This window comes from Homo sapiens, chromosome 6 (genome assembly GCF_000001405.40).
Source record: "Homo sapiens chromosome 6, GRCh38.p14 Primary Assembly".
NCBI lineage: Eukaryota > Metazoa > Chordata > Mammalia > Primates > Hominidae > Homo > Homo sapiens.
This window is the reverse complement of record NC_000006.12, coordinates 2816687-2829945: the sequence shown is the minus strand read 5'-3', so window position 1 is coordinate 2829945 and position 13259 is coordinate 2816687.

Genomic DNA, 13259 nt, shown 5'->3' with positions numbered 1-13259 from the left:
AAGTTCTAAGGTCCTTGCATTGTCTGGGAAGGGAATAAAGTAAAATTACAATTACATTAGAGGTTGATAAAGAATGACAAAGAATACCATCATCAGTCTGAAAGAAGAATAGAAAGATGAGAAAGTGATACATAGAGTAGGCATGACAACTAGCAAGATGGTATGTATATTAGACTCTAAATACAATGTACATTGAATAAATGTCCCCGTTCCAGTTAAACGACAAAGATGGTCAAGCTGAATTAAAAAAAATACTATATGCTAGTTAGAGGAAATAGATATAAAACATAAGACTAGGGAGAATTTGAAAAGAAAAAAATAGAAAAAGATATATCATGCAAATACTAACCATAAAAGTAAGCGTAGCTATAACGGCATTAGGGATAATGTCTACAGAGTCTCATATATATCCAGAATTAAAATAAATGATAACATAGAAGTTGGGGAAGGAAATGGAGTTAAAAGTTCTAAAGTCCTTGCATTGTCTGGGAAGAGAATAAAGTACAATTACAATTACATATTTCCTATTCCTATTCCAGAGATAAGGACAGACACTTCATAACAACAACAAAAAGTTTCAACTCACTGGGAAAATATAACAATTCTAAACTTGTATATATCCAACAACATGCCCTCAAAATGAAACAACAAAAATAGAAAGAAATTAAAGGAGAAATTGGTCTGCAATTTGAGAACAAGACAAGGATGTGCTATCACCACTTAATAATTTAATGAAGATCCTAGCTGATATACTAACTCAAGAAAAAAATAAATAAAATATATAATGATTTGAAAGAACAAACCTCACAATATTTCAGATTATTTTTATAGAAAATTTAAATTATTAGAATTTAAGTAAGTTAAGTAAGGTTGCTGGTTATAAGTTTAATTTGTAAAGCTAATTTGTATTTCTAGGTAACATATGCAGTTTAAAAACTTTTAATACCATTTATAAGGACATCAAAAAATACTTTAGTGCCTAGGAATGAATCCAACAAGTTGTTCAGGATTCTATACAGAAAACTATAAATGTTATTGAGAGTAAATGAAAGAGATCTGAAAAAATGAAGAGCTATGCCGTAGTTATGATGCAATACTTTAAATATGTCAATTGGGCTGGGCATGGTGGTTCACGCCTGTAACCCCAGCACTTTGGGAGGCTGAGGGGGGAGGATCACTTGAGCCCAGGAGATCTAGATCAGCCTGGGCAGAAGACTTCGTCTCTACTAAAAATAAAAACAAAAAAATTAGCCAGGCATGGTGACACGTGCCCATCCCCAGTCCTTTGGAGGCTGAGGCAGGAGGATCACTTGAGCCTAGGAGTTTCAGGCTGCAGTGAGCTATGGTCACACTACTGCACCACTCTAGCCTGGGTGACAGAGCAAGACTCTGTCAAAAAAAAAAAAAAAAAAAAAGCCAATTGGTCTATAGAATCAATGCAATCCCAATAAAAAATGCAATAATTATTTTTGTTTGGTTTGGTCTTCTTTTCGGTGAAATATGGCAAGTGGTTCTTTTTTTTTTTCTTTTTTTTTTTTTTTGGAGACAGAGTCTCGCTCTGTCACCAGGGCTGGAGTGCAGTGGCATGATCTCTGCTCACTGCAACCTCCGCCTCCTGGGTTCAAGTGATTCTCCTGCCTCAGCCTCCCAAGTAGCTGGGATTACAAGTGCACGCCACTACGCCTGGCTAATTTTTGTATTTTTAGTAGAGATGGGGTTTCACCATGTTGGTCAGGCTGGTCTCGAACACCTGACCTCGTGATCCGCCCACCTCAGCCTCCCAAAGTGCTGGGATTACAGGCGTGGGCCACCGCACCTGGCCAAGTTGTTCTAATGGTTATATAAATATGTAAAAGCCAAAAACACCCAAGACAATCTGGAAGAAGAATTAGCAAGAGGATGGACTTAATTGAATCAAGACTTATTCTAAAGCTGCAGAAAATAAGATAAAGCAGTTTTGGTGCAAGGATGACCAGAAACGGACTAGAACAGAGAGGCTAGAAATAGCCTCCCACGATGAACCCAGCTTCATGACGAGTAGGACTGTCGTCCCAGTGTACCCCAAACAGCCTGTTTACACCTCTGGTCCTAATGTAATTAGTACTTTTGTATCTTTTATCTTTTACTCTCAAAATTTAATCCACTTGGATAATAAATCCTATCGTCATTATACTTATGACAATTGCAGCATTTCGGGGTCGAGAATTAATAGGGAAATTTTTCAATAATTTGTCTGGGACATTTAGGAACCCATATAAAAAAAATTTAAAGTTGATTCCTGCCTTACAACCTACAGGAACATTGATACCAGATGGACTGTAGACTTAACTGTGAACGAAAAACAATAAAGCTTTCAGGAGATAATAGAAGCATCTATCTTCATGAACTTGTGGAGAGAGATTTCTTAAGAAGACACACACACATGTTTTGTTACATTTAGTCCGAGGCATATGGACTTTTTTGATGCTAAATTGGACCAAATGAAAATTAAGAACTTTAGTTCTGCAAAACATAGCACTGAGGAGTGAAATGGTGAGCCTCAGGGGTAGTTTACGTAGGCCAATACCCTAAGAAGCTGTAACATCTAGCTAGGCTCTGAGAGTTTCCATTGGCAGCATTCCGATTCTAGAGCTTTTCCCACTTCACTCTGTGATCTCCCAAGCTGCCGATTAAAAAAAAAAGTAGTGAAGGCAGCCAGAGAGAGCTCTATGTAGTCACAACTTTGGAGAACTGGCTTCCAAATATCTTCCGAGTTTTTAATATTTCAGAAACACTGCCTTAGGTGACCGAAAGGAAGTGGGGGCCAATTCTAAGGTGTGAGAGCAGGGCGATCTGGTTGAGTGTTATAAAATCTGGGTGCTTTTATTTATTTATTTTTATTTCATTTATTACATTATTTTATTTTATTTATTTATTTACTTGAGATGGAGTCTCACTCTGTCTCCCAGGCTGGAGTGCAGTGGTGCAATCTCGGCTCACTGCAACCTCCATCTCCTGGGTTCAAGCAATTCTCCTGCCTCAGACTCCAGGGCAGCTGGGATTATAGGCGCCTGCCACCACACCTGGCTAATTTTTGTGTTTTTAGTAGAGACAGGGTTTCACCATAGTGGCCAGGCTGGTCTCGAACTCCTGACCTCAGGTGATCCACCTGCCTCAGCCTTCCAAAGTGCCCAGATTACAGGCTTTCCTGCCTGTAATCCTGTGTTGCCCAGGCTGGTCTCAAACTCCTGGGCTCAAGTGATCCACGTACTTCAGCCTCACAAAGTGCTGGGATTACAGGTGTGAGCTACTGCACCCGGCCTATGTCCTTGTATTCTAAATTCTTCCTTACTTGAAAAATAATCAGTATATTGTAACCTAGAATTCTCATCCCACCATAGCTCTTCTTCCAGCTTAGGGCAGGAAGAACTCGCTAATATTTAGTGAGGAATAACACGGGGCCAGCCTGGCACTTGGAATCTGATATTTGTATTTTTGTTAAGTATTATTAACACCAACCTCCTGAAAAGGGTGCTATTATCCTCATTCTATAGATGATCTCAGAGCAGAATGGAGACTTGGTCTCACTGCTCTGAAGGGCAAAAATCAACCTGATTCGTCATGAGCAGAAGTCCCTGAATTTCACCATAGGATTTTGTCAGAGGGTTGAATACATTCTAAGCTCTCCTAAGAGGTTTGGGTGCTTCAATATTAATGTTATCCTTTCACTTTTCACTGTGAAACTCTGCCAATGGAAATGGAAACTTTGATAATTTAGGAATCTTCTATAAACTTGTTCTTCACCAGGTAGACTGGGAATTGCTTGGACATAGGTAAATGACACATTTCAGTAGAACCTGCTGATTTATCATCTTTCCATGGCACAAATTCAGCAGCCTTGTCTCCCTCCATTGTCACTGCCAAGAGCCAAGATCATTACAAAAGCTTGTACATCTGGTTAGGGATAAGAAATAAACTAAAGGATACATTTGACTTAAAAAAAAAAATTCAGGACTAAGGGAGGATCTGTTATATTTCAACCTTGGAGAAGGTGATGCTTCAGAAACATCTACAGATTATAAAGTAAAAAAGCATTTCTTCAGCTGAACTTTCAGAGTTCTAATTACATATATTTAAAATGGCAGAATTGTAATGCTGGGGAGACTTCTGATCTGAAAAACCAGTCAGCAGCTGCTGTGACCACAGCTGAATACCCAGGTTGTGGAAGAGTGGTGTGGAGTGAATGAATTAAACCCCAAATCACTCTGCCCAAGGATAACTTATAGTGTGACATCTTATATGTGTTGTGTAACAAAGCTGATTTTCTTTTTGAGATGGAGTCTCTCTCTGTTGCCCAGGTTGGAGTGCAATGGCACCATCTCGGCTCACTGCAACCTCCGCCTCCCGAGTTCAAGCAATTCTCCTGCCTCAGGCTCCCGAGTAGCTGGGATTACAGGCATGTGCCACCACGCCCAGATAATTTTTGTTTTTTTGTTTTTTTTTTTTTTTTGAGACGGAGTCTCGCTCTGTGGCCCAGGCTGGAGTGCAATAGCCCAAACTTGGCTCACCACAACCTCCGCTTCCTGGGTTCAAGTGATTCTCCTACCTCTGCCTCCTGAGTAGCTGGGATTACAGGCATGCACCACCACCACGCCCAGCTAATTTTTGTATATATATATATATATATTTTTGAGACAGAGTTTCGCTCTATTGCCCAGGCTAGAGTGCAGTGGCGCGATCTCTGCTCACTGCAAGCTCCGCCTACCGGGTTCATGCCATTCTCCTGCCTCAGCCTCCCCAGTAGCTGGGACTGCAGGCACCTACCACTGTGCCCAGCTAATTTTTTGTACTTTTAGTAGAGACGGGATTTCACCATGTTAGCCAGGATGGTCTCGATCTCCTGACCTCATGATCCACCCGCCTCGGTCTCCCAAAGTGCTGGTATTATAGGTGTGAGCCACCACGCCCGGCCTGTATTTTTAATAGAGACGGGATTTCACCATGTTGGTCAGGTTGGTCTCGAACTCCTGACCTCAAGTGATCCACCCGCCTATAATATATAAAATATATATATTAAAAAATATGTATTTTAATGTCAAAAAGCCTCATGGCTGCTGAAGCATCTTATGGCCAATGGTGACATAAACAAATTCACATTAAAACACTGACTCCGCCTGCCACTTGAAGAATAATTGCAAGGTAGTCAGGAGTGGGAGCTGTGGGGTCACTCAGGGGTCATGACAGTGGCTTCCACCAGGAGCCAGAGGAGGTGGACATGAAGAGATGGACGTGAGACCTACTGGACAGCAGCATTTTGCAGTCGATAAGTTGTGGAGGGTGAAAGAAAGTGAATTTTCTATTAAAGTTTTCCTTCAGCTTTCTAGCAGTTGGGCAAATGCACATGCTACCCCTGAGATGAGAAGCCCAGAAGGCTGACAGTTCTGGTGGAACTTGGGAGTGTAGTCGTGAACACGTGGGTCTTCCAGAAGGAGATGCCACGTTGGTGGTTGGGTATGTGGATCTGCAGCTCAGAAGTGAGGTCTGGGAAGAGATGCCAACCTGGTTACCCACACCACAGAGCTATAAGATTGCATGGATGAGGCTGGGCGCGGTGGCTCACACTTGTAATCCCAGCACTTTGGGAGGCCGAGGCGGGCGGATCACGAGGTCAGGAGATCGAGATCATCCTGGCTAACACGGTGAAACCCTGTTTCTACTAAAAATACAAAAACAAAATTAGCCGGGCGTGGTGGCGGGCGCCTGTAGTCCCAGCTACTCGGGATGCTGAGGCGGGAGAATGGTGTGAACTCGGGAGGTGGAGCTTGCAGTGAGCCGAGATTGCGCCACTGCACTCCAGTCTGGGCAGCAGAGCAAGTATCTGTCTCAAAAAAAAAAAAAAAATATTGCATGGATGAGAACGTGTAGGATGTGAAGAGGGGAGGGCCCCTAAAAGAGAACCAGAGATATCCACCATTCAGATCCACCATTCAGGGCCAGGAACAGGATGAGGATGACCAAGGAGGCCAATGAGAAGTGGCCCAGGAAGGAGATGGGAGAGCTCAGGGAATAAACTGTATCACATTCTACTGAGAAGTCAGGCGAGGTGAGTTAGCAACATGGAGGTCACTGGGGACCTCAGCAAGGAAAATGTATTTGGAGTGGTGGGGACGAAAGCCAAGTTGAAGTGGCTTAAAGAGTACATAGCCCAACTCTGGCTGCAAGATTGTGGCACTAGCATAGATTTTTTTTCTTATTAATCAGCCTTGAGTCATAGTTTACATATCATCACCCACTTTAAGCATAAAGCTCAATGAACTTTGATAAGTGTATATCCTTGTGAATGCAGCACCCAAGTCAACATATAGAACACCCTGTCACTCCAGGAGTACACTCATTTTTAAATGTCACTGTAGATTTCTTTGTTCCGTAATTTTATAGAAATGGAACCGTATACTAAGCACTTTTTGTGCTTGACTTCTTTCCCTTGGCATGCTTTTGAGATTTATCCATGTTGTTACATGTGTCAGTTCATTCTTTTTTAACACCAGATAGTATTTCATTGTGTCTTAGTCTGTTTCGGTGGCTGTATCAAATCACCATAGACCAGGTGGCTCATAAACAACAGAAATTTATTGCTTACAGTGCTGGAGGCCACAAAGTCCAAGATCAAGGTACAGGAAGATTTGATGTCTGGCAAGGGCCTGCTTACTGGTTCCTAGATGGCCCTTTCTTGCTGTGTCCTCATGTGGAAGAAGCGGGGAGGCAGCTCTCTGGGGTTCCTTTTATAAGGGTGCTAATTCCATTTATAAGGGCTCTACCTTTACGACCTAATCACCTCCCGAAGGTTCCACCTTCTAATGTCATCAGCTTGGGAGTTAGATTTCACCACATGAATTTTAGGGGAACACAAATATTTAGATCACAGCATTTAGATATATACTGTAATTTAATTATCTGCATAATTTTAATGGACATAATTGAGTTGGCTCTATGCCGTGAAAGCAAATACAATTCAGCATTAGACGATCTAGTAAGAAGAAAAACAATATAATGAGAAAAAAATTATAATCATATGACAAATGGTAAAAAAGCATTTGGAAACACTTAACACCCTAACTTGATAAGGAACTTTTGCTGGAAACCCATAACATCATGCTTAGTGGTAAAATATTATAGGTATCTCCATTAAAGTCAAGACCTGTTGTTAAGGTTACCTGTTATCACCAACACCAATAAATTTTTCTAGATATAGCAGACAGTGAAATGAGTCAAGAAAGAGAACTAAAGTACAAATATTAGAAAAAGACAAAGAAAATATCTAGAAAATTAGGGAATCAATTAATAAACTGCTATAACGAATAAAGGAGACCAATAGGATAGCAAGATTCAAGGTAACTATTCAAAAATTAGTAGCTTTGCTATATAACAGTAGTGGTAAAGTAGAAATTGGAAAAAATCCCATTTACCATATCAGAAAAAAAATCTAGAGATTAATAGAGGTGCAAGAGTAGGAAGAAAACTACGAAACTTTAGCGAAAGAGACGGAAGACAATGACTACAGCACCACATTATTAGAAGACAGACTTAACATGGCAAAGACACCAATCTCCCCAAATTAATCCATAGTTCTGATGTAATTCCAATCCTAATTTGACAAACTAATTCTAAGGCTTTTCTGGAAGAGTAAATGAGTAAAAATAGGAAAAGTATTTTTGAAAGAGGGGGAAATGAGAAAGAATTAGTCCTACAGTTAAAAACTGTGGCTCTGGCTCAGAAATAGACAAACCAATAGAGTAAAAAACCATCGGGTAATAAAATCTGTGAGAATCTGTGAGAGTTCATTGTGTGATTAATGAGCCACCTCAAATCTGGGGAAAGGATGGGACTAAGTGGGTATTGAGGCTGTTCTTCGGGAAGAAGTAGTTCTCTACTTTGTACCCTGAACAAATTTCAGATAGATCAAAGTGATAAATTTAGAAGATAAAGCCACAAAAGTACTGGAACAGGATACTGGAGAATATATTTTAAATATGTGAGTGGGGAAAGGACTTCTCAAACAAGACAAAAGATCCAGAAAGTAGAAATTTAGCCATAAAGTAGAAATTTAAAGATTTGATTTCATAAATTTTGTCTACTACCCATATAAAATAATTGCACAATATATAAGAAAGGCATGGTATCCCTGAGACATGTGCCAGGAGAAGCGATCACTGTGTCCTGCCATCGGGGACAGAAGGTTGTGTCAACGACCCCTCAGATGCCTTTGTCCCTGTGGTCCTGTGATTCCAGGAAGCTGCCTTACCAGGACCAAGATGGTAAGTCCTCTGTCCACCTCTCATTGCCCTAGATGCTGAAGATTAACATAGGAGTAAGAAAAGATGGTTCCTTTGGAAGGTGGCCATCTATCTGGGGAGACAAATACCATAAGCTGGAGGCAGGGACATCCACTGCATTTTGCAGCACAAAGTGGGAAGTGACTTACTTTGCCCTGGGGAGGTCAGTTAAGCCTGGAACTGGGTTCCACACATTACTACAACACTCTTTGTTGCTTTTTTTTTTTTTTTTTTTTTGAGATGGAGTCTTGCCCCGTCATCAAGGCTGGAGTGCAGTGGCTTGACCTTGGCTCACTGCAATCTCTGCCTCATGGGTTCAATCGATTCTCCCGCCTCAGCCTCCCAAGTAGCTGGGACTACAGGCGCACGCCACCATGTCCGGCTAATTTTTTGTATTTTTAGTAGAGATGGGATTATACTGTGTTAGCCAGGATGTTCTCGATCTCCTGACCTCGTGATCCACCCACCTTGGCCTCCCAAAGTGCTGGCATTACAGGCGTGAGCCACTGCACCGGGCCCTCTTTGCTCTTTGATGATGTTTGTTTTATTTAATCATTGCAAGCATCCATTTTTCTAGTAAGGGAATGCCTTTATTTGACTTCACAAAACTTAGAAAACTCTTTACAAACAAATGAAAAAAAAAATCAACACACCCATGTATTCAGCACCCAGATCAAGAAATCCAATTCTTCCAGCACCTCAGAGGCCACAGACCCCTTCTAAAGAGCGTAGAGGAATTTTATCTATATACTGTCTTAATTTTCTTAGTTATATTTTGTGTATACATGTGTGTGGCGTCCATGATCAATCTATTTTGAATGACCAACTACCCTTGTGAAGAAAGTAAATCCTTTAGGACTAAAGTTCTATATTTGGCTTTTAGGTGGATACGAGTTTGTAGCAAATTCTAGCCATCTTTGGTTTTTCTTTCCCTAGCCTGCTGTTTTCTCTTGGATGTTAACAAACCCTTCTAGATATGAGCAATCCAGCACCAGTTAAGCAGGAAACCATTCTCTTCCTGAACAGTTGAACCACAGTTTTGTCATGATGATCCGTCAAACTCTCAGGAAGGCCTCTTTGCTTGTTACTTTTTAGAAAAAATAAAAGCTTACTTTTATTATATGTCAAAATCAGCACTGACATAGAAAACCCCAGTGAATAAAAGCCAAACAATTGCTTAATTTATTTTGCTAAGAATCACCAAGCCAGCAATCAAGTGGATCATGGGAGGAAAGTAAAAACCCTAAAGAAAATGAAAGGTGCCTGTGTTCCCCCAAACCTACCCACTCCCTGTTTCCTTTGGCTTTAGTTTTGAGCACAGCCCTTCCAAATTCCAATCTGTCACCCTGAGGAGGCTTTGCGTTGACATGATCAACAATGACATTGACATAGATTGAACTCTAAAAGGAAGATAATATCTCATACTACAAAGTGCTGAAGTGACAGGAACTTTTCTAAGTTCTAGGAGCGTATTTAATCCTCTCAACAATCTGATGAATTGGGTATGACCTGCGTCCTCATTTTACGGACGGTGACACTGAGACACACGATGTTAGGCACGTTGCCAACAGTCACAAAGGGCCAGGGTTCAACATAGACTGTCTGGCCCCAAAGCCTGTGCTCTTTTCTTTTTTTAATTTGTATTTACTTATCTATTTTCATCCTTTAAAAAATAATTTTATTTTGGATTCAGGGGTGCATCTGCAGGTTTGTTCCATGAATGTATTGCATGATACTTAGGTTTGGGGTGTGTGTATACCATATTTTCATTATCTAATCCACTGTTGATGGGCACCTGGGTTGAATCCATATCGTTGCTATTATGAATAGTGCTGCAATAAACATCCGAGAGCACGTGTCTGTCTTATAGATTGATTTGTTTTCCTTTGGGTATATACCCATTAATGGGATTGCTGGGTCACTTGGTAGTTCTGTTTTAGGTTCTTTGAGAAGTCTCCAAGCTGCTTTCTACAGTGGCTGAACTAATACACATTCTCACCAGCAGTGTATAAATTTTCCCTTTTCTCCTCAGCCTCACCAGCATTAGTTGTTTTTTGCAAAGTCTGTGCTCTTACCCACTTTACTGCCCCCAGCATAACTCAGGCTGGTGAGGGAGGTGTGACACTTCTTCATGTGCTTAAGGCAGCCTGTGGCAGACCAAAATCTACTACGCATCTTGAAGATTGTTGCTCAGATCCACGTATTAATGTTTCTGAATACTGGAAACTGTGCTCGTGGCTGGGGACCAGGAATAAGTATAGTGGAGTCCTTGCTGGCAAGGAGTCCTTTAACAGAGGAAAAAGACAGGGCAGGGTATGACATAAAGACCAGATTCTATTTGGAGCTGTTGACTCAAAGAGCAAAAGGAGATGGCCGTTAGCGTATCAGACATAGAAGCCATATTCCCCATGGGCAAAAATGAAGAATGTTCTGTAAGGGTCCTTCAAGCTATACCACCCTGTGGTCCTCACTAGTGTTCATGGTCCTGTTAAGGGATGGGACACACTGGCCAAATGCTGGTGATCAAGCCAGCAAAGCTTCACCAGGCAGGCAAAACAAGGTATCTGGCATAATTTGGATACATCACATCACTGCAGTTCATTGTGCTGAGTAAAAATATTACACACAGACCAGGTTTGTAATAAAAACAAAATATAAAAATACAAAAGCCACAAAATGTCCCAGCTGGCAGAGACTGCACTCCAAATGGGAGGGATCCTAGGCAGGAAGCACAGTTCATATTTATGGAACAGAACGGGACAGCTAGATGCTTTGGTTCTTTGGGGGAAGTATTTAGCCTAACCCAATCACAACATATATATTTTCTAACTCAGGGATTCATGAGTTATTTTCATAGATTGCTCATGGTTATTACCGAAGGTTGCTCTGTCTCTTTGAAACCAACCATGTTGCCGGGCAACAGCTTCCTTGTTGATTTCATTTCTCCTCTTATCATTGTCTCAGTAACTTCAGCAAATCTATCCATATTCTGCTCTCTCCCACACAAAATAAAGTCCCTTTACATTCCTGAATTATGAGGCAGCAGAAGTAAAAAGTGATAGATTCATCAAGCTTAATTATAAGATAAGATGCTGGATATTTTACTGCTATTTCTGCAGTCTCAGCTTTGGTTTGAGTTTGAAGCATTATGGGTCAAAATTCCTAATGATTTTTGAAAATGCCACCTGTGAGGTCTGTGGCAGAGCAAGCAGTTATACTGGGGGAAAGCAAAAATAAACTTTCAGCGTTCAGGTTCATGTGCTGTAAGTGATTTGGTCAGAACTGGATTTTCCTGGAGAGCAGGAAGGTTATGATAACCTTTGAATTTTCAACACAAATCAACAAGGCGTGTTTCCTTTTTATAGTGGTAAAAATGTTGGAGGATTTGGGAACACTGAGTGTTTATTGTACCTGAAACCAGGCTCATCTAAGCCAAGAAGAAATGTTGATAGTCTATAGCTGTTCCCGGAGGAGTCCAGTTCCTCTGCTTCCGGAGATCTTGCTTATGTAACTCTGACTAATGCCTGAAATTCCATGGCTAAGCTACACCCTGTTACCTTAAAATCTTGAGTCTTCTTTACTATAAAAATGCTTACTACAGGAATGATGGTCTTTAGCCACCTTTTACATCTTAGTAAAGATTAGTCATTTATATCTTTGTAGGAATGAAGAATCTGAGAGTGAAATATGAGTGGCAAGAAAGACAGAATGAAGGCACTGCACTCTGGATAAAATGACAAAATAACAGGCCTGAAGCACAGACTTTGGAGAAAACACTGGCCCTAAGACTGTCCCTAATTTGAGCACCCTAGTTTTCTAATGACTTACATAAATACCTGAATGCACAGATACCAGACAATACAGACTTATTTTGATTCCTCCTTCTTCTTCACCAGCACCCAATCCTCATCAACCACAAAGCTATAAAGAACTACAGATTCTCTTCCTCCTAAACCAATTCTAGTCCATGCACATAACAAAAGATCAAAATACATCGAGCAAAAACTGAAAGAACTGAAAGAAGAGACAGATAAACCCACTATTATAGTAAGAGATTGTAGTACATGTCTCTCAATAAATGAAAGAACAAACAGACAGAAAATCAGTAAAGATACAGAAGACTTGAACAACACTACCAACCAAATTGACCTCATTGACATGTATAGAACACTCTGTCTATCCAACAACAGCAGAATACACATTTTTCTCAAGGTACATGGGACACTGAGCAAGATACACCATATTTTGGACCACAAAACGAGTCTTAATACATTTAAAATTATACAAATCATAAAAAGTTTTTTCTGACCACAATAGAATTACAATAGAAATCAGTAACAGAAAGATATCTAGAAAAATCCTCTATGTAAAAACCAAACAATGCACTCTAAAGTAACCCACAGGAGAGGAAATGAAAATAAATCAAAAAGCACTTTGAAGTGAATTTAATTTTTAAAGTGAAAAAAATGACATATCAAAATTCATGGTATGCAGCTAAAGTAATGCTTAGAGGGAAATTAAAGTATCAAATGTCTATGATAGAAAAAAGAAAGGTCTCAAATTGATGATCTAAGCTTCTATGCTTAGAAGTTAGAAAAGAAAAATAATCCCAAAGTAAGGAGAAGAAGGAAATAATAAATATAAGAGCTGAAGTCAATCAAATAGAAAGCAGACTAAAAAAATAGAGAAAATCAACAAAGCTAGAAGCTGGTTCTCTAAGAATAGAAATAAAATTGATAAATCTCTAGCCAGATTGAACAGGAAAAAAAGACGCAAATTTCACATATCAGAAATGAAACAAAGGACATCACAAGATATTCTACAGACAATAAGAAAATATAATTACAAACTTTGTACTAACACTAATTCAACAACTTTGATGAATGAGTACATTTATTGAAATATAACTATCAAAGCTCACTAAAAATAAATCAATACCCTAACTAT